General features: G+C 43.5%; 1 pseudogene across 1 annotated transcript, besides 1 other annotated feature; it reads left to right on the forward strand.

Annotated features, from left to right (window-relative positions):
- Positions 12929-13223: an enhancer, noted in NCBI's record as "tiled region #10070; HepG2 Activating DNase matched - State 4:PromP". NCBI's record gives its function as "activates a minimal TATA promoter and a strong SV40 promoter by Sharpr-MPRA in HepG2 cells {active_cell/tissue: HepG2}" and the evidence as "EXISTENCE:reporter gene assay evidence [ECO:0000049][PMID:27701403]".
- LGALS17A (galectin 14 pseudogene) lies at positions 14374-21373 on the forward strand (annotated as a pseudogene). The gene is made up of 8 exons (NR_034156.1): positions 14374-14434; positions 16433-16509; positions 16998-17208; positions 18487-18763; positions 19710-19807; positions 20302-20418; positions 20553-20652; positions 21185-21373. The product of NR_034156.1 is annotated as a galectin 14 pseudogene (transcript).
- Positions 21374-23153: the final 1780 nt, after the last annotated feature.

Below are 23153 nucleotides of genomic sequence, written 5' to 3' on the forward strand. Positions count from 1 at the left end.
ACATATCTATTCGCTCCACAAATATTAAGAAGTTTGACAATACCAAATGTATTAGTCGACATTCACGCTGCTGATAAAGACATAACTGAGACTGGGAAGAAAAAGAGGCTTAATGGATTTATGGTTCCACATGGCCAAGGAGGCCTCAGAGTCATAGCAGTGGATGAAAGGCACTTCTTACATGGCAGTGGCAAGAGAATATGAGAAGGAAGCAAAAGACGAAACCCCTGATAAACCCATCAGATCCTGTGAGACTTATTCACTATAACAAGAATAGCATGGGAAAGACCAGCCCAAGGGATTCAACTACCTCCCCCTGGGTCCCTCCCTTAACACATGGGAATTCTGAGAGATACAATTGAAGCTGAGATGTGGGTAGGTACATAGCCAAACCATATTAATCTGCTCCTGGCCCCTCCAAATCTCATGTCCTCACATTTCAAAACCTATCATGCCTTCCCAACAGTCCCCCAAAGTCTTAACTCATTTCAGCATTAACCCAAATGTCTGCTGTCCAAAGTCTCATCTGATAAAAGGCAAGTCTCTTCTGCCTATGAGCCTGTAAAATCCAAAGCAAGCTAGTTACTTCCTAGATACAATGGGGGTACAGGTAATTGAGTAAATACAGCTGTTCCAAATGGGAGAAATTGGCCAAAACAAAGGGGTTACAGGCCCCATGCAAGTCCTAAATCCAGCCAGGTAGTCAAATTTTAAAGCCCCAAAATGATCTCCTTTGACTCCATGTTTCACATCAAGGTCATGCTGATGCAAGAGGTGGACTCCCATGGCCTTGTGTAGTTCTGCCCCTGTAGCTTTGCAGGGTATAGCCCACCTCCTGGCTGTTTTCATGGGCTGATGTTGAGTGTCTGAAGCTTTTCCAGGCTCATGGTGCAAGGTATCTGGGGTCTGGAGGACAGTGTCCCTCTTCTCACAGCTCCACTAGGAAGTGCTCCAGTAGGGACTCTGTGTAGGGGCTCTGATCCTTCCACATTTCCCTTCCACATGGCCCTAGCAGAGGTTCTCCATGAGAGCCCCACCCCTGTAGCAAACTTCTGCTTGGACATCCAGGCGTTTTCATACATCCTCTGAAATCTAGGTGGAGGTTTCCAAATCTCAATTCTTGACTTCTGTGCAGTTGCAGGCTCAACACCAGGTGGAAGCTGCCAAGGCTTGGTGCTTGCACTCTCAAAGCCATGGCCTGAGTTCTATGTTGGCCCCTTTCAGCCATGGCTGGAGTGGCTGAAACACAGAGCACCAAGGCCCTAGGCTACACACAGCACAGTGATCCTGGGCCCGGCCCACAAAACCATTTTTTCCTTGTAGGCCTCTGGGCCTGTGATGGGAGGGGCTGCTGTGATGATCTCTGACATGCCCTGTAGACACTTTCCCCATTGTCTTGGGGATTAACATTCAGCTTCTCACTACTTATGTGAATTTCTTCAGGCAGCTTGAATTTATCCTCAGAAAATGGCATTTTCTTTTCTATCACATTGTCAGGCTGCAAATTTTCCAAACTTGTATGCTCTGCTTCCTTTATAAAACTGAATGTCTTTAACATCATCTGAGTCTCCTCTTGAATACTTTACTGCTTAGAAATTTCTTCCACCAGATACCCTGAATCATCTCTCTCAAGTTCAGTGTTCCACAGATCTCTAGGGCAGGGGCAAAATGCTGCCACTCTTTTTGCTAAAACATAATGAGAGTCACCTTTGCTCCTGTTCCCAACAAGTTCCTCATCTCCGTCTGAGACCACCTTAGCCTGGACCTTATTGTTCATAACACTATCAGCATTTTGTCAATGCCATTCAACAAGTCTCTATGAGGTTCCAAATTTTCCCACATTTTCCAGTCTTCTTCTGAGTCCTCCAAACTGTTCCAACCTCTGCCTGTTACCAAGTTTCAAAGTCGCTTCCACATTTTTGGGTATCTTTTCAGCAGCACCCCACTTCACTGGTACCATATTACTGTATTAGTCCATTTTCACACTGCTGATAAAGACAAATTCAAGTCTGAGAAGAAAAAGGGGTTTAATTGGATTTACGGTTCCACATGGTGTGGGAGGCTTCAGAGTCACGGCAGGAGGCAAAAGGCACTTCTTATATGGCAGCAGCAAGAGAAAATGAGGAGGAAGCCAAAGCAGAAACCCCTGATAAACCCATCAGATCTCATGAGACTTATTCACTATCATGAGAATAGCACAGGAAAGACTGGCCCCCATGATTCAGTGACCTCACCCTGGGTCCCTCCCACAACATGTGGGAATTCTGGGAGATAGAATTCAAGCTGAGGTTTGGTTGGGGATACAGCCAAACCATATCAACAAATATGGAGAGACTGTGGATCAACAAGATCATCTCGAATTAATACAGGAGGTGAGAGTTTAAATTAGAACAACCACTTTGGAAAATAATTTGGATTATCTTATAAAAATGAGCATTCTTCCAGGAGCTGGTTTTTTGAAAGGATCAACAAAATTGATAGACCGCTAGCAAGACTAATAAAGAAGAAAAGAGAGAAGAATCAAATAGACGCAATAAAAAATGATAAAGGAGATATCACCACCGATCCCATAGAAATACAAACTGCCATCAGAGAATACTACAAACACCTCTACTCAAATGAACTAGAAAATCTAGAAGAAATGGATAAATTCCTCGACACATACACCCTCCCAAGACTAAAACAGGAAGAAGTTGAATCTCTGTATAGACCAATAACAGGCTCTGAAATTGAGGCAATAATCAATAGCTTACCAACCAAAAAAAGTCCAGGACCAGATGGATTCACAGCTGAATTCTACCAGAGGTACAAGGAGGAACTGGTACCATTCCTTCTGAAATTATTCCAATCAATAGAAAAAGAGGGAATCCTCCCAAACTCATTTTATGAGGCCAGCATCATCCTGATACCAAAGCCTGGCAGAGACACAACCAAAAAAGAGAATTTTAGACCAATATCCTTGATGAACATTGATGCAAAAATCCTCAATAAAATACTGACAAACCGAATCCAGCAGCACATCAAAAAGCTTATCCACCATGATCAAGTGGGCTTCATCCCTGGGATGTAAGGCTGGTTCAATATATGCAAATCAATAAATGTAATCCAGCATATAAACAGAACCAAAGACTAAAACCACATGATTATCTCAATAGAAGCAGAAAAGGCCTTTGACAAAATTCAACAACCCTTCATGCTAAAAACTCTCAATAAATTAGGTATTGATGGGATGTATCTCAAAGTAATAAGAGCTATCTATGACAAACCCACAGCCAATATCATACTGAATGGGCAAAAACTGAAAGCATTCCCTTTGAAAACTGGCACAAGACAGGGATGCCCTCTCTCACCACTCCTATTCAACATAGTGTTGGAAGTTCTGGCCAGGGCAATTAGGCAGGAGAAGGAAATAAAGGGTATTCAATTAGGAAAAGAGGAAGTCAAATTGTCCCTCTTTGCAGATGACATGATAGTATATCTAGAAAACCCCATTGTCTCAGCCCAAAATCTCCTTAAGCTGATAAGCAACTTCAGCAAAGTCTCAGGATACAAAATCAATGTACAAAAATCACAAGCATTCTTATACACCAATAACAGACAAACAGAGAGCCAAATCATGAGTGAACTCCCATTCATGATTGCTTCAAAGAGAATAAAATACCTAGGAATCCAACTTACAAGGGACGTGAAGGACCTCTTCAAGGAGAACTACAAACCACTGCTCAATGAAATAAAAGAGGATACAAACAAATGGAAGAACATTCCATGCTCATGGGTAGGAAGAATCAATATCGTGAAAATGGCCATACTGCCCAAGGTAATTTACAGATTCAATGCCATCCCCATCAAGCTACCAATGACTTTCTTCACAGAATTGGAAAAAACTACTTTCAAGTTCATATGGAACCAAAAGAGAGCCCGCATCGCCAAGTCAATCCTAAGCCAAAAGAATAAAGCTGAAGGCATCATGCTACCTGACTTCAAACTATACTACAAGGCTACAGTAACCAAAACAGCATAATACTGGTACCAAAACAGCATAATACTGGTACCAAAACAGAGATATAGATCAATGGAACAGAACAGAGCCCTCAGAAATAACGCCACATATCTACAACTATCTGATCTTTGACAAACCTGAGAAAAACAAGCAATGGGGAAAGGATTCCCTATTTAATAAATGGTGCTGGGGAAATTGGCTAGCCATATGTAGAAAGCTGAAACTGGATCCCTTCCTTACACCTTAAACAAAAATTAATTCAAGATGGATTAAAGACTTAAACGTTAGACCTAAAACCATAAAAACCCTAGAAGAAAACCTAGGCATTACCATTCAGGACATAGGCATGGGCAAGGACTTCATGTCTAAAACACCAAAAGCAATGGCAACAAAAGCCAAAATTGACAAATGGATCTAATTAAACTAAAGAGCTTCTGCACAGCAAAAGAAACTACCGTCAGAGTGAACAGGCAACCTACAAAATGGGAGAAAATTTTTGCAACCTACTCATCTGACAAAGGGCTAATATCCAGAATCTACAATGAACTCCAACAAATTTACAAGAAAAAAACAAACAACCCCATCAAAAAGTGGGCAAAGGACATGAACAGACACTTCTCAAAAGAAGACATTTATGCAGCCAAAAAACACATGAAAAAATGCTCACCATCACTGGCCATCAGAGAAATGCAAATCAAAACCACAATGAGATACCATCTTATACCAGTTAGAATGGCAATCATTAAAAAGTCAGGAAACAACAGGTGCTGGAGAGGATGTGGAGAAATAGGAACACTTTTACACTGTTGGTGGGACTGTAAACTAGTTCAACCATTGTGGAAGTCAGTGTGGCAATTCCTCAGAGATCTAGAACTAGAAATACCATTTGACCCAACCATCCCATTACTGGGTATATACCCAAAGGACTATAAATCATGCTGCTATAAAGACACATGCACACGTATGTTTATTGTGGCACTATTCACAATAGCAAAGACTTGTAACCAAGCCAAATGTCCAACGTTGATAGACTGGATTAAGAAAATGTGGCACATATACACCATGGAGTACTATGCAGCCATAAAAAATGATGAGTTCATGTCCTTTGTAGGGACATGGATGAAATTGGAAATCATCATTCTCAGTAAACTATCGCAAGAACAAAAAACCAAACACTGCATATTCTCACTCATAGGTGGGAATTGAACAATGAGAACACATGGACACAGGAAGGGGAACATCACACTCTGGGGACTGTTGTGGGGTGGGGGAAGGGGGGAGGGATAGCTTTAGGAGATATACCTAATGCTAAATGATGAGTTAATGGGTGCAGCACACCAGCATGGCACATGTATACATATGTAACTAACCTGCACATTGTGCACATGTACCCTAAAACTTAAAGTATAATAATAATTTTTTAAAAAAGAAAATGACATAAGAAAAAAAAAAAAGAAAAAACAGATAAAGTGCACTTTGTCTGTATTTACAGCCCATAATCAAGAAATCATTGCCCAATCTCATGTCATGATGATATCTGCCTGTCATTATCATTTCTCCTATCATTATCATTGAAGGTCTTACGTTTACTCATTGATACATTTTGAGTTCACTATTGTATATGTTATAAGCTAAGGGACCAGTATGTGTAAGTCCAGTTTTCCCAGCATCACGTGTTGAGAAGTCTGTCCTTTTCCAATGCGATGGTCGTAGCCCATTGTGGACTCTCAGGTGACCCTCTGTGAGTGTTTCTAGGCTCTCTATTCTACTCCTTTGATTTCTATGCCTCTCCTTAAGCCAGCACCACACTGTCATGATATTATAGCTTTTTAAAGAGGTCAAACATTGGCCACAATAAAATATGCACTTCCAAAGCCATTTTTAGGTATTATATATCATGGATTAGGCTCTTTTTTTTTATTCTCAGGACCTACATGGACACTATTTCTCATCCTTGTGATACAGGAGTTATTAAGAAATAATTTTTAGGTAGATAGTAAGGGTAAAAGTTCTTGGTGGAAATTTTCCTGTAATAAGAAACAACCCCCAAACCATCTCTTTTCTAACAGAAAAGGTGGCTTGAAGGGCCAGGAGAGCAAGCTTTGATATGCAAATACTGGGTCATTAGAAACGAGGTTCACTCAATGTGGTGATTCCTGCCATCTTTTCCTTGTCACCAGGTGTACCAAGTGTCATGGCCACTTTCAGATAACACCATGTGTTCGAAACATCATGGCAACCCGCATTTGCATATTAAAGGGCTAAGATGGGAGGGCCAGATTTTTCACAGGCTACAGAAATTACACACCTGGTCAAACCAATCCCCTGGGCCCTATGGAAACCAGAAGCCGCCTCCTCCAGCATCCCAATATAAGCAATCACTTTTCCACCACACATGGTTTTTATGTGTGTGTGTGTGATAGGTTTTTATTTATTATTATACTTTAAGTTCTAGGGTACATGTGCACAACGTGCAGGTTTGTTACATATGTATACATGTGCCATGTTGGTGTGCTGCACCCATTAACTCGTCATTTACATTAGGTATTTCTCTTAATGCTTTCCCTCCCCCCATCATTCTGAGCAAACTATCGCAGGGACAGAAAACCAAACACCGCATGTTCTCACTCGTAGGTGGGAATTGAACAATGAGAACACTTGGACACAGGGTGGGGAGCATGGGGGGTTTTTTGTTCGAATCCCCCTCTCTCTGTCTCTGTACGGGGGAGCTGTTTTCTTCCTTCCTTCTTTCTTGCCTATGAAACTTTTCACCCCTTAAAACCACTCCACATGTGTCCATGTTGTTAATCTTATCAGCACGAGACCAAGGACCCTGGTTCCCTCCAGTCATCGGAGCCATATCTTTTAGGTGCATTGGCCAGGAATGGGAATTCATTCATCAGACTGGTGAGTATGGAGCAAATCTCAACTTTAAATCTGTCTTTTAATCTCTAGGCTCTCTTCCAGCTATCCTGCCACCAAACTTTCTTTCTCTCTCTACCCGCGGTCTCTTACTGTCTCTCTCACTGTGTCTAATGTGCAGGAATCTTTACAGTTCAGGGAAACAGGTCTGTTAGAGAAGATCATGAATCAAGGCAGGCAGTAACTCAATAAACGTCTGTCTCTCTAAGGTTTCGCTGGTGAGCACATGGTATTTCTAAGCCAAAACCGCCACCTGGTGGAAATAAAAATCCTCTTCATGAGACACTTGGTTCTCTGTGGTACGTTGCAGCTTCACAATTTCTCCATTTTGCACTTTTTTACTGCTACTTCTGTGGACGGGAAACTCTGGTTTCAACCATTAGGAGTAAGATGTCTTCCACAGCCAGATTTTAGTCCCAATATTGTCCCATCAGTAGGAAAACTGCCATTCGGTTCCTACACTCTTTTAAGGCACCTATTCTGTCTCCAATTAAGACAGTACTTAATTGGTAAGGGGATATTAAGTTTAGAAGTTAACCAGAACAGTTTTTTTTAAAGGGTAAATGCATTAGCACGGGTCATAATAGCAGGCAATCTAGCACATTGCCTCCATTAAAGGAGCCTTGCCCAGAGGTGACACAGTCTCCCCGGAGATCCGTTTTCAGGGAGCCAGGCAAACTGCACATGTTTAGGAAATCAAAGGTAAATCACACAAGGCAGATAAGCTAAGACTGCATGGGTAAGCACGGGTAGCCCCATCACTTAGTTCATCCAGCTCTATGGCTTGGAGGACCACACCTACAGCCATGGGTGGCACATTTAACATGGTGCCGGGATCCAGAAACCAGGGAGGGGAAGTAATCAGAGGATGCTCCCTGTCTGCTCCTCCACTCTGGGTCATACCAAAAGGAAGGAGACTAAGAAGATGCTTTGTATTCTTTCTTCTTTTTCTAAATGGATAATAAATTATCTTTAGGTTGCACCCCTCTGGAGTGCACTCTGAAACACTGAAACTTCCTTAATCTCAAAACTGTAAAGAGAAAAGCAATTTATTTTCTTTTGCACAAGGACATGGCATTTTTACTAAATGGGAGGGAAGCGGTTCTCATAAACAACCCTAACTAAAACTTCAATAGCTCAGGAAATGATAGGAAAAGGAAGTACTTTTTAATACTCACTATAAAAGGCCTAGAGGAAACCAGGGCCAAACCTCTCAGTTACTCTAAGCTGTCTATAATGAACCAAAAGCCAGATAATAATTCTGTAGCCTTTATGGAAAGGCCAAGAGAGGCACTAATAGAGTACATCTCCTTATCCCCTAATTCAATGGAGGAACAGCTCATTTTGAAGGAGAAGTTTATTACAAAAGCAGCTCCTGATATTAAAACTAAAAAAGCAAGCTTAGGACAAAATACCACCTTAGAGAACCTCCTGCAAGTGGCGACTTTGGTCTTTTATAATAGGGACAAGGAGGAGTCCCAACAAAAGCGGGGGAATCTCAAGAGAAGGACAGAGGCTCCAGCAGCAGCTTTGCAAGCTTGTAAAGTCCAGAATCCCCAAGGTACATCCACTAGTTGCTATTGGCATGGCAGCCCAGAGCATTTTTAAAAGGAATGCCCAGGCAGCAAGATGAAGCAAACTCAACCCTATCCAGGCTGTGGCAAAAACCACTGGAAACAGAACTACCCCCAGAGGCAGAGGTCACTGGGTTCAAAATCAGCCTCACAGATGGTCCAGCAGGAATGATGGGTCCAAGGGCTCCAACATTGGCTCCAGTGACTCAAACTGCCATAGAGCACAGGAGTCCTAGAGGATTCTGGAAATTTACAAAAGGAAAGTAAACCTCCTTCTAAGCACTAGAGCCAGTCTCTCTCTTTTCTCCTCTCTAATCCAGGCCTCCGCTCTTCTCATAGCACAACTGTAAAGGGCATCTCGGGAAAAACTCTAATCCAATATTTTTTTCAACCTTAGCTGTAGTTAGAAAGACCTATTTACACGTGCTTCCAAGTCATTGTCATAATAGCTCTACTAGTCAAAAAAGCCTCCAAGTTAACCCTAGGAAATAATTCAACTGTTTACAGCCCACATAATGTGGCAGGATCACTGACCTCTAAGGGGAGCTCTTAGCTAGTAAACAGCCAGTAAAGCAAGAAGTACATAAGGCAGGATGAGCAGTAGTCACTGCCCCAAACACAAGCACTCAATTAGCTGAGCTAATAGCTCTTACAAGAGCACTTAAATTAAGCCAGAGAAAGATAGCTAACATTTCTACTAACTCCAAGTATGCTTTCCTAATTGTCCATGCTCATGCTGCTATTTAAAAGGAAAGGCATTTTCTTACCACTAATGAATCTCCCATAAAATATCACCAGGAAATTAATAGGTTATTATCCTCAGTTTTTCTTCCACAAGAAATAGCAGGATGCATTGTAGGGAACATCAAAAGAAAATAAATAAGGTAAGCAAAGGAAATAAATTAACTGGTCAGCCAGCTAAGACAGAGGCAAGGAAGTCTCAGGGCATTAACACAACTAGTGAAAGCCCAAGTCCAGGAACTAAAACCATCTTTATTTAATCCAGGAAATTTAGTATTAGTGAAAAATCTCATCTCTCTCCTTCCCTAAGCCAAGCTGGGAAGGGCCCTCCACTGTTCTTCTTTCAACCCTCTCAGTAGTAAAATTTACAGGAATCAACTCCTGAATACATCACACTAAAGTCAAAGCTTAAAAAGCTGGGGGAGCAACCCCTAACAGTCCAGAGAAACATCCAGAATGTCCATGTGGAAAAGCAGAAAATGTTAAGCTAAAAATCACAAAAATTAAGTAACTGAGTAAGGTCTACCCATCTTACTCAGTCCCACATTTACCTCAACATATACTTGTTGTCATTTCTGCCCTTTCCTGTCAAAATTTGCCACCAAATATTAAAACTTCTTTTTAATGTATAATTGCAGAAAATTTTAATGATAAATGAAATTGCACTTGGAACTCCGTAAATCCCCAAAGGGAAATGTTATATCTTGACAAGTAAAGTTTTAAACAAATGTTTTTTACTATCCCACTCTTGTGGGAATTGTTATAGTTATGCTACTATTTGTGATAAAACTATACACTGTGGCACCCACAATGTGGAATTCTGGTTGTAAAATTCTAATTCGTGCTCCTATGAGAATCTAATGCTGGGGCTTATCTGACAGGAGGCCACTCACGCAGTAATGCTTACCCACTGCTCACCTCCTGCTTTGTGGCTTCTTTCCTAACAGGCCACGGATTGTTACTGCTCTATGGCTTGAGGGTTGGGGACCCCTGCTCTAGGGTGTATCTCTTTCAGGGTTCCAACTAAAAGCCTAACTCTCTCTCCCACTTGGCAGACAACAACCTATAATTTTTGTATCTTCAGATCCACAAGACTGATAGAAGTTCTACTCTGCCACCACCTAAGAATCAACTTCTAATTTATGATACTATTTTAATTTCCCCAATTGTACAAAAGCATGTCCTTTATAGCTGTTTTAAAATCCATTATCCAATCAGGTTTCATGCACTTTGGTGCTATACTTCTTTGGTCTCTTTTAATCTAGAACATTCTCCCTGCCTTGTTATGACATTTTTTGATGCTTTTTGAATTTTTGTCATATATAAGGCTCCAAAAATGAAAATGAGCTTGGTGGTATGAGGAATTGAAAAGAGGTCAGTATATCAGGCATTTCTTGCACCACGTGTTATCCTCTCAGCCCCACCTCTTCATCCAGCCATTGCTAAGGTGACCAGGTCCAGACAGTTGTTCACTAGCTTCATGCAGGTACACACTGACAGTGCCTCTCCTTAGTATCTATCTTTCCAGTACCTTCCTCTTTCCAGCACTGGGCTTCTTTGAGATGGTAGAATAGGACTTTTGCAGAAATCCTCTCAGCACCCATGCATTTGCAAACCAAAGTTGTGGGAGACTTAATGCCAACAGGATGACTTTTTAACAACTGGGGATGGGGGCAGATGGATAAATACTTCCTTTCATCTTCTGGGCAGAGAGTACTAAGAAACATTTCTTATTTGGTCGGGGTGAGGGTGAAAACCAAGCTTATGCCAGAAAAAGTCATAGAAAGCAGCTGGACCCTCATACTGGGAACCTAAATCTCTTATTGGGCAGATCACTGTAAAGATCCATTGCTGGTAAGTGAAGTAGTGATTACCCATGGCATACTAAGTATCACAATTACTAAGTATTGCTTGGTATTACAATTACGAGTTCACAATGACTAAGCATAGTCGCCTGTGTGTTCTTGGCAGGAAGTGCTGAGAGAAGGTGAAGCACTGGACTCCAGAAGCTGTGGCACTAGAATGGTAGGGGTACAATGGGAATCATAGGATTCTGGAAGTATTTGGTTTGGTTTTAACTGCATTGGAATTATTTTTACAAAAAGAAAGAAAGAGCTGGGCTCAGTGGCTCACGCCTGTAATCCCAGGCTGAGGCTGGTGGATCATGAGGTCAGGAGTTCAAGACCAGCCTGATCAACATGGCAAAACCCTATTTCTACTAAAAATACAGAAATTGGCTGGGCGCAGTGGCTCATGCCTGTAATCCCAGCACTTTGGGAGGCCGAGGTGGGCGGATCACGAGGTCAGGAGATCGAGACCATCCTGGCTAACACAGTGAAACCCTGTCTCTATTAAAAATACAAAAAATTAGCTGGGTGTGGTGGCAGGTGCTTGTAGTCCCAGCTACTTGGGAGGCTGAGGGAGGAGAATGGCATGAACCCAGGAGGCAGAGGTTGCAGTGAGCCAAGATCACACCACTGCACTCCAGCCTGAGTGACAGAGTGAGACTGTGTCTCAAAAAAAAAAATAATAATACAGAAATTAGCCAGGCATGGTGGCAGGTGCCCGTAGTCCCAGCTACTCAAGAGGCTGAAGCAGGAGAATCGCTTGAGCTCAGGAGGAGGTGGAGGTTGCAGTGAGTCAAGGTCACACCACTTAATCCAGCCTGGGCAACAGAGCGAGAATCCATCTAAAAAAAAAAAAAAAAAAGAATGAATGAATGAATGAAAAAAGGAGAGGGACTTATTCATGCTCACCAACTACCAATTAAAGGCACACTTTGAACACTAGATGTTCCTGATGATAGCATTTAAAGAAACCCTCACATCCTGCAAGCACAGGGAAGAGAGTGCTGAGTGCTGAAACCCATATGTAGGATCTAATTTCTAAAAACATGGCATAACTGCAAAGGAAACTGGTGGCATGGTCTTAACAAATGCCAGATTACAAAGTGAATGCTCTGATAGTTGGATAACTCAGCTTCCTAATATCATAACTTGCTTTAAAAAACTACAGTAATCAAAATGCATTCATACCAGCTTAAAGATAAGCCTATAGACCAGTGGAACAGAATTGAGAGTCAAAATAAATCTAAACATCCATCGTAAGTTGATTTCCACAAGGGTGCCAAGATCATTCAATGTGGGAACAAATTGTCTCCTGAATAAATGGTTTTTGGTTTTTGTGGGGTTTTTTGTTTGTTTGTTTTTAACTTTTATTTTAAGTTCAGGAGTACATGTGCAGGATGTGCAGGCTTGTTATACACGTAAACCTGTCATGGAGGTTTTTTGTACTGAATATCCACATGTAAAAGAATGAATCTGGACCCTCACCTTATACTATATACAGAAATTAACTCAAAATGGATCAACAACCCAAATTTAAGAGATAAAACTGCCAAATATGGGCCAGGCATGGTGGCTCACACCTTTAATCCCAGCACTCTGGGAGGCCGAGGAGGGTGGATCACGAGGTCAGGTTCCTGGCTAACACGGTGAAACCCCGTCTTTACTAAAAATACAAAAAATTAGCGGGGCATGGTGGCGGGTGCCTGTAGTCCCAGCTACTCGGGAGGCTGAGGCAGGAGAATGGCGTGAACCCAGGAGGCAGAGCTTGCAGTGAGCCGAGATCACACCACTGCACTCCAGCCTGGGCAACAGAGCAAGACTCCATCTAAAAAACGCCACCCTTGTATCTTAAAGTCCCTCATGACTGTACTACTCTGTGCAGGCCCTCCAAGAATGCGGTGTTGCTTTTGCTTTCCTATTTTTGTAGGTGGAAGCAGCTCTAATGGCTTCCATTGCCCTTTCCTACTATCACATTCCTCCCTGCACAGGTCAGACAACCAATGTGGGATTCTGCCATTTGCTGAGTGTGTCCATTCCACTTCTGCAACCTGACACTGAGCAAATAAGCAGAGGATGGATGTGGGGCCAACTGGGCAGTGCCAGGTGCTTCCAGTGCTTTCACTTTCACATAATTCCAGCTGAACTTGGAACCGACTTAAAAACAGGATTTGATTCCCCTTTCACTTCTACTTATGAAGACATCAATAGATTTCCAGGAAATCCCACGTGGAGAGGAAACTGATTTTGTAATTCACTGCTTGAGTCTGATGCATACTCTCTAGTTAGTATTTCAGACACAAATCACAGGAACAATATTTGCTGCTTGAGGAAACAGCTATGAAGACACTGAGAGTAGATACAGAGTGTCTTGCCTGCCCTAGGTGAACTGGCAGGAAATAAGAATCTCTGTGTCCCTGGTTGCTTTAGGAAAGTAGAAACCTATAGAGACTAGGAGAACTTTCTATAGGTGTGAGAAAGTGTGTGAGGAAAAGAGGAGGATAGTGGACAGCATAGAGATTTCTGGACTGAGACGGGATTTCGGGCGTGAATAACTGAGTGAGTAGCAGCGTGGAAGGGGCTGTGTCTGAGCTGAGCAGGGCTGAGTGGGAACTGCGCTCTCTACACTGAAACAGAGTAGGGACCTCATGGGGGCTCCCTTCCCCTATTTGGACTCCAAAGTGCACAGGTGCCTCCGCTCGACCAGGAAAAAGAAGAGGGAAATTCATATGCTCTCTGCCCTCAGTTCAGGAATGGGGGATGAACCATCCCATTTCTGGAAATGTTGAGACCCAGACTTAGCAAAGGCTAATTTGTTGATTTAAAGAGTGCTCATAGATGACCATGCCCTTCTACCATCCTCCTTTCTGACTTAGAATGGGAAAAGTCATGTCATAGAGGAGGAGCTGTGGGCTCAAATAGTGGACAAGGCAGTCAGTACTTTGCAGAGTGTCAATCTTGGTCAGAGATGGATGCAAGGCAAACCCTTTGACCAGGGCACACAATGACATGGCTTCATGAGAAGCATGGAGGCTGAAGTGCACAACTTCCCACCCTCACTCCATCATCCTCATCTGTGCCTTCCCTGGCGATTCCCTGCCCCTTGGTGTGACCCTCCGTGTCGTTTCTGCTGCAGCACAGTCACAGGCCTGAAAACTGAAACTGAGTCTATTTCTGCCACCCCTACTCACGCTGCTGAGAAATCTTCCTGGCAGGGGTTCAGAGAAAGAAATAAAGCCAGAGGGCAGGGCCAAGAGGGACTATTTAAGTGCTGCAAATCAGAGACTCACACAGAAGACCAGATACTATTCTGAAGAACTACACAGAGGGAGACAACAATGTCATCACTAAAAGTAAGTCAAAAGACACAGCCTTTAATAAACTCAATTCACATAAACCAAGAAAGAATCAGGGGTGATTTCACAAGACGAAAGTATGAGAGTTTCTCTTGTGAACACTTTACTGAGAGTTGTGGGTGTGTGAAAGAGAAACCGTGCGGCTATGATATCTGAGATGCTGGTGGAGTGTGGGGTGTGGACTCTGAACCAGTGTAACCGTCTGTGAGTGCATGGTGGTGTCTGATGAGAGTAACCTCTGCTGAGATGATGTGACTTTAGGTGGGAGGTGAACAGCCCACCAGGGTGGGCGGGTGTGTGCCTGAGTGTAAGGGTGTAACTGCGTTTTGTCTTCTTGACTGTGATGTGAGTGTGTGTGTGAGCACAGCTGGACCAGTGTGTGAGCATCTTTATATGCACAGTGAGCAGGTGTGTGAGACTCAGTGAGTGGCATGGCTCTGTGAGACTATGGGTGAGTGTGTGCTGGGATGTGACTGGGTGTTGAACTGGGAGCATGCAAGGGGCCTTCTGTGCATGTAAAGTTTCCTCCCAACACAGCAGCGCCTCTGATGAAGCAGCTGGGCACTTCCCATGTGTCAGTGTGTGTCCCATGTGTGAACAGTGTGGGTGGCAGAACTGGTGCGCCTGTTGTGAGCCATGAGTTATGGAGGAGTCATCTCTGAGCAGAATGCGTGAATCCTCAGGTGCCTCCTCCCAAGCAGAGTGGGGAAAAGGAACACAGACTATGGGGCCGATGGTTCCTCAGGTGGGGTCTGTCCAGAAAGGCCATCTGCTCCTGCCTCCAGCCTCAGGTCTCTCTGTCTCCCAGCCTGTCCATCCCATTGTGGGAGAAGAGGGTGAGCAGATCCTGGCTCACTAGGGAAGGCCTTTGGGGGATGTGGGTTCGGAGACTGAGTCGCCCAAAATAGAGAAGGAATCAGTTTATTCTTAGTTCATACAGAGCTTACAGTGCATATTAATCAATAACTTGCCAGGGTTTGTGGCTCATGCCTGTGATCCCAGTGGTTTGGGAGGCCAAGGTGGAAGGATCGCTTAAGGTGAGGAGTTTCAGACCAGCCTGGGCAACGTAGTGAGACCCTGTCTGTACCCAGAATTTAAAGATTATCCAAGCATGTTGGTGTGCACCTTCATTCACAACTACTCAGGAGGTTTTGGCAGGCGGATCACTTGAGTCCAGGAGTTTGAGGCCACAGTGAGCTGTGACCATGCCACTGCAATCCAGGCTGGGCAACAGAGTAAGATCCTGTATCAAAAAGACCCCAAACCCCAACACCAAACAGAGAAATGAAAATCAAACAATATTTAGATTACCTCCAATGACTTCCCTGGCCCACACTCTTCATGTGTGCAGGTACTGGGGCTGTGCTGCCAGCAAGGTGTCCCCTTCTGGAAAGGACGTCCATGGCCCTTGATGATTGTGATGCACACGGGGGTTTCCAGTTCTTTTAGCATTTCTCTCTCTCTTTCAACAAGTGTTGTTTCTCACTGGAGTGAATCTCTCTACTCTTACATCCTCACATCTTGTTTTCACAGCTTCAGTGTTGAAAATAATCACAGGTCGGTGTTCCAGAAGCAACCTCCCTGTTCTAATGGGTAACCCCCAACAGGCTTCATGCATGGCAGAGATTAGGGCAAAACTTTCACATATATTAATTCATATATTACTGGAAAAACCCTACAAAGCAGAAATTTCTGCTTATCCTCCTTGTCCTGGGGAAACTGAGGCAGGGAGCGTTCAAGTAATGGATCTAAGATTGCACTGCTAGTAAGAGGCAGAATGAGGACTGGAACCAAGGCAGCATGGATCCTGAACCATTGCTCTCATGTATGGGTCACTAATTTCTTCAGGAATATGCCGCCCTGACCGCTACGGTGGGAGGGAGGAGGCTCACAGTTTGCCCTTTGACCTCTAGCCTCCTGCACCATAGGAATCTGTTACGGGGGGGAGGCCACACCTGGTCCTGCCCCTCCCACCCACTTTCAATCCCCTGGCAGGTACCACACACACGGCCTGTGTCCTTGTCTACTGGTTCTTGTGTGATAATCACAGGGACACCGATCATCCCTTTCGTGTGAGTACTCCATGGTCCATGGCAGGGGGAGGAGACGAAAGAACATTTGCTAAAGGGCTGACCTCCTGTGTGAGTGATGTGAAAATGTCTAGTTGGCAGGATGGCAGCACCATGCAGGTGCAGGTCCTGGAGACCCTGCAACACCTGGCATGAAACCTGCAGTGGCCGCACTGTGAGCTAGTCATGGGGCCTAGGGGAGGAGGACACTCAGGGCATTGGGACTGTGGCTCTTTATCAAGAGGCATAGAATGTTCAGGAAATTGACAACTCATAGGCCTAGGTCAGTGACTGTGGCTGAGTTTACATCTTGGGATGAGGGAGCTCTTAAGGGCAGGAGGGGCTGAAGCAGCCCCACAGGGACAAGACTGGCAGTATCACCAGGAAGGCCTGTGTCTGCTCTGGGGAAAGGGGGGAAGGGATTTGTGTGTGTCCAGTGTGTGCCCCACAAGGGAGAGACCTGCCCAACACACCGTGTGCTTTACCCTCAGCATGGACCCACAGCTGCAGGTGGATTTCCATACCGAGATGAAGGAAGACTCAGACATCGCCTTCCATTTCCGAGTGTACTTTGGTCATTGGGTGGTCATGAACAGCCGCGTGAATGGGGCTTGGCAGTATGAGGTGACATGCCACAATATGCCCTTTCAGGATGGTAAACCATTTAACCTGTGCATCTCCGTGCTGGCCGATGAGTACCAGGTGAGCCCCCCAGGAGCTCCCAGCACCCACCCTCCATGGGCTCCCAGAACAGGAGGCAGCTCTTCCTGAGCTGACCCCACCAGTTCCTCGGAGCCGATCTCCCATAACTACTCCTGCCCCAGGCTTTTCCTCACAGAGCACTCTCTGCTTGCACTGCCATCCTCAGTTCTTCTTCCAGATCTGACCCAGGGTCAAGGTGGGCTCACCTGCCATTTTCCCCAAGGTGGAGAATCTTGTCTGTCTTCACCCATAGTTCTCATTCCCATGTATGCTGTTACTTACATAGTCATTCAGCCAAATGGATAAAACATGCATATGAATAAGGTTATTTTATCAGTCCAAAATGTAGTCTTTCTCTCAGTACTGAACCCCAATCCTACCCCCAGAACAGCAGTATTACTAGCTTCTCTACACAAATTCCAGAGCTAATGTATGCTTATGGAAGCATACAGATGTGTGGTTTCATTTCTTTTTAAACCAATGCTGTTTTAAGTTTCTCTACACATTACACTTTAGAAACTGGGGTGGATTTGTTGTCAAACGCTACATGTTGGAGCAATCATCCATCCATGGTGCCGCCTCAGTTTTTCAACATCATACAATATTCCTGTAGCAGGGTTACCCAAAATTATTGAACTTGATCCTTTTGATGGACATTAGGCTGGTTCCAGTATTTTGCGCTCACAAATAAAGCTTTTTAACGTACCCTTTGTCATAATGAACCTCCCAATTTCCATATTGGAGGGTAATTACAAAAAATGGAATAACTCCTTCAAAATTGTGTGCATTTTAAATTTCATAACTTAACACCTAAAAGGTGACTGTCTCTATAGCTTTAGTAATAAATAAATAGTATTTCCAAACTTTCTAACCTTTTCTTCTTCTTCTTCTTCTTTTTTTTTCTGGAGATGGAGTCTAGCTCTGTCGCCCAGGCTGGAGTGCAGTGGCACGATCTCAGCTAACTGTAACCTCCACCTCCCAGGTTCAAGCGATTCTCCTGCCTCAGCCTCCTAAGTAGCTGGGAATACAGGTGCACACCCACCACGCCTGGCTAATTTTTTTTTTGTAGTTTTAGTAGAGACGGGGTTTCACCATATTGGTCAGGCTGGTCTTGACCTCCTGACCTTGTGATCCATCTGCCTTGGCCTCCCAAAGTGCTGAGATTACAGGCATGAGCCACTGCGCCTGGCCTTCTTCCCAATCTTTTCAAATGGGCAGATGCAAAGAGTAACATTTCGTCCATATTTAAGTAGGAGATCCTTTTCTTATGCCTTTCAGCCGTTCAGAATAATATCCTACGTTTTGCAACACCTGTTTTGTTCCTCCTCTCTGAAAACATTTGAATTTCCTTCTTTGCCACCACCATTACATCTCTGGGCAACTCCAAGGAGAAACTGGGCCATCAGCAGTCATAGTGAATGGGAGTTATAGTTCATGGAACTGAAATGTATGCATTCAATGAACACTGTCCAGCACTAACCCCATGGCAGGCCCTGTGCAAGACGCAAGGATTGAAGTTCATGAGAGACAGTCCCAGGCCATAGGGATCTTCCAGGTGAGAGGAGAGGCTGAGCAAACAGGTTCTGTGATACACAGGGTGGTAAAACCTCCTTGGAGGAATGAGAGGAAGCATTGGAAATAAATGAGCAACTGTCTGAAGTAGGCACAAGGGTAATCTGCAGAGAGAAGTGTGTCTACTGGGTTCTGATGTATAATTAGGGGATTTCTGGTTGGATGCTGTAGGCACTAGGGCTGAGTGAGATGATGCTGAAAACTTGTTTGATGGCATATTGTATTTCTGATGCATTTTTTTCTTTTGTAGGTAATGGTAAATGGCCAAAATGCTTACAGCTTTCCCCACCGACTCCCACCATCTTATGTGAAGATGGTGCAAGTGTGGAGAGATGTCTCCCTGACCTCAGTGTCTGTCTGTAATTGATGAAATGATCACATTCCTCATGGTTAAAGAATCCCTGTTTCTGTGCGACCATGGCATTTCCAGAGCCTGCTAACAGAACGATCACTCCTCACCCCTTCCTCTACACTTGGTCATTAAAACTTCACCAAATTTTCCAGAATCTGGTTCTTACTTTCATGGAGAAAAAGACAAAGTGGCACAAGGACACAAGTGACACAAGGCCACTGTGATGTCTGAGATTACATAACGAAGACATCCTTTTATGTCAGCCCGTACTTTACGTCAGACACTCTGAACCAAAATTCCTCCTTCATTGTAGATGACTCACTCCAGTGAAATGTTGGGTAGCTGTTTACAACCTCACAGGCATAATTGATTTTGGGGAGAAGCTTTGTAATTTGAGGAAAGTCATATGAAATGTCTTCATTCTTGCACTCATTCTAAGGATGTTTCCTGTGTCTTAATACTGTGTCTGGCGTTGTGCAGGAAGCACTGAAAAAGCCGAGGAAATACTGACCAAGTTTGCACCTGAAATTTTGTTTTGTTGTTGTTCTTTGAGACAAGTTCTTGCTCTGTCATTCAGGCTGGACTGCAGTGGCACCATTAAGGCTCACTGCAGCCTCGACACCCTGGGCTCAAAAATTCCTCCTGCCTCAGCCCCCCAAGTAGGTGAGACCACAGGTGAGCACCACCATGGCCAGCTAATTTCTGCATGTTTTTTTTGTAGAGATGGGGTTTTGCCATGTTGCCCAGGCTGGTGTCGAACTCCTGAAGTCAAGCAATCCAGCAACCTCGGCCCACCAAATTGCTGGCATTACAAGTGTGAGCCCCTGTGCTTGGCCTATACCTGAAAATTTCAATCCAAGCCATAGTTAGAGAACCACAAGAGTTCAATAATTTCCCTCAAAAAATCCCTTTGTCATGTTCAAAAGAACTGCCAGATTTTTCTATTTTATGTGGGCAGAATCCTGGATCTCCTCTTTGGAAATAAATGGTCATAGTTTTAGATCGGAAAATATGTCATTTATTGGTGGAATGAACACAATTCATTCACATGGACACAGTGAGCCGACCCTGCTTTGCTGCTGCTACCGTTGGCATTGCAGAACCGGAAACCTCCCCAACACATATTCACATAAAGCAACCATTTATTCTGATGTCTCCCTGCTTTGCAGGTTTACTGGACTCATGCGGGTGGTAGACACGCATGTGTGTGGGAGTCACGTTTTCTGAAGGACCTACAGGCTGGGATCCCAGAGGATTCTTCACTTATGTTTGACTCAACACTAAGGGTGAGTGAACACCTGGGGGCTGGCTGGTTGTCTCCTTCCCTACCTCCCCTACACATTAGTGTCTTGAATTTTCTGAAATCATGAAGGCCTCATAGTTGTTGGACTTAATCAATGATTACTGTCTTCCACCAAAGAAGGACTTTCAAGAAACCAAAGAAGAAGCTGCCAGGCATCATAGAACTTAGCTTTGAAAATTGGAGAGTGTCACTTTTCTATGACATTATATTGATTAAGGTGAGTACAGACAGCCCAAATCATGGGGAGGGGCCTCCACAGGTTGTGGTTGTTTTGATTATTGGTCATGATGGGGTCCTTTTTGGAACCAAGTTCCACTGAGTCTCCACTGGCTTACAGACTGTTCACATACCAAGAGAAGTAACCCTGGAAACAACTCCAGAAAGCAATACCATTGTAGGAAGAGGCTCAGAGTGAAGTCCCGCATCTTATCATCCAATCAGGACCTGGTGTCCATGAGGTGACTACACATTGTCAGGTGCACTTTCTCTCAATGTGTGCACTAAGGAGACAAATTATTGGCCCTTAACACATCAAACACCCAATACTGAAACACACATAGGAAAAATGCAATTCACACACCTGATTTAAGCATTATTTGAAAAAGAAAAGAAAAAGAATTTTACATCAAAAGGACAAGAAGATTTTTAAAAGGAGAATGAATTGAAGAGAGGAAGAAGAAAATAGACAGCAGTCACTGGGCCACATCATTGCTGAAGCCAGCCAGACACCTATTTATCATTTTCTCTAGGACTGGTTCTCAGCAACAATCGGCTTCACCCTCCACTCTTCCCTTCTTGGAGTTTCTACCAAGATGGCAGAATGACAGTCCTTTTCCCTCTATAAGAGCTGAGATCACCTGCTTCATAGCAAACCTGGAGAACCACTTAGCAGAAACAACATGTTACCTACAAACTAATGAAGGCAGATTGAGTAAAGTCCTGTCAAATAGCCTCTTTTTCCACACGGCCCAAGTCAGGCATCATTTTGATCATCCTCATCCTCTCTCCCCATGTTCATTGCCGCAGTTTGTTCACCTCCAACCTTACTCATGGGTATGCTCCTCTCCTACCCGCATTCAACCTAACACCCAGATACCTGAGGTGCCAACACACAGCCAGTGCTACTCCTCATTCCTTTCTTCCACGTTTCATTCCCATATGGAATGAAATTCCCTCCTCTCTCACTGGACACTCTTGGGTTCAGTTTAGGTCCACTCTCCTCCTTACACCTTTCTGCTCTCAGTGTTGTTCACTTTTCTATTTTGATAATAGGTCATAGGCCTCATCACCTGTATGGAATTCATTTTTTGTGGAATTTTAGAAGGTGACACTGACCTTATCAGGGGCTCACCTTCAGCCTAGCACCTAAATGTGCAGAGGCAAGTGGACAAAAAGGAACTGGGAATAGAGTCCAGGCTTCACTCAGTACCTCTTTGTAGTGACAGCAGAAAGAGTAGTATGGGTGGTGGGTGTGAGATGTTGTGTCACGGGAACGGAGAACAGGAAGTGTTTCCTGGGCACTGAGAAGTGTCTCCTGTCTCACGGTGACCTCTTCCCCAGCACAGTTTAGCTGCAGAATACACACTGTTGTCCTCAGCACATAGATCATTCTCAAAGATAGACCATATGTTGTCATGAAACCAGTCTTGAAACATTAAAAAAAAATTGAAATATGTAATCCCAGCACTTTGGGAGGCTGAGGCCAGTGGATCACGAGGTCAGGAGATCAAGACCATCCTGGCTAACACAGTGAAACCCCGTCTCTACTAAAAATACAAAAAATTAGCCTGGGCGTGGTGGTGGGCACCTGTAGTCCCAGCTACTCGGGAGGCTGAGGCAGGAGAATGGTGTGAACCTGGGAGGTGGAGCTTGCAGTGAGCAGAGATGGCGCCACTGCACTGCAGCCTGGGCAACAGAGCAAGACTCCATCTCAAAAAAAAAAAAAAATTGAAATAATATCAAGCCACTTCTTTGACCACAATGGAATAAAACAAGAAATTGGTAGCAAGAGGAGTTTTGGAAACTATCCAAATACATAGAAATTAAACAGTATGTACCTGAATGACCAGTGGGTCAATGAAGAAATTAAGAAGAAAATTAAAAGTTTTCTTGAAACAAATGATAATGAAAACATAACATACCAAAATGTATGGGATACAGCCAGGGCAGTATAAAGACGGAATTTTATAGCTCTAAGTCCCCACATCAAAAAAGAGAAAAGCTTCAAATAAACAATATAATGATGCATCTTAAAGAATTAGATAAGCAAGAGCAAACCAAACTTAAAATTAGTAGAAGAAAATAAATAATAAAGATCAGAGCAGATACAAATGAAATTAATAAAAAGTGTTTTTTCTGATAATTTAAACAAAATTAGCAAACCTTAGCCAGACTAAGAAAAAAGTAGAGAAGATATAGATAAATAAAATCAGAAATGAAAAAAAGACACATTACAACTGATACCACAGAAATTCAAAAAATTATTAGTGGCTACTCTGAGCAACTATACACCAATAAATTGGAAAATCTAGATGAAATGAACAAATTCCTGGATACTTACAACCTATCGATATTGAACCTGGAAGAAATTAAAAGCCTGAACAGTCCAATAATAAATAATAAAATAGAAGCCACAATAAAGTCTCCTCATAAAGAAAAGCCCAAGACCTGATGCCTTCACTGCTGAATTCTACTGAACATTTAAGAAAAAATTAATGC

The sequence above is a fragment of the Homo sapiens genome, chromosome 19, assembly GCF_000001405.40.
Source record: "Homo sapiens chromosome 19, GRCh38.p14 Primary Assembly".
Lineage (NCBI taxonomy): Eukaryota > Metazoa > Chordata > Mammalia > Primates > Hominidae > Homo > Homo sapiens.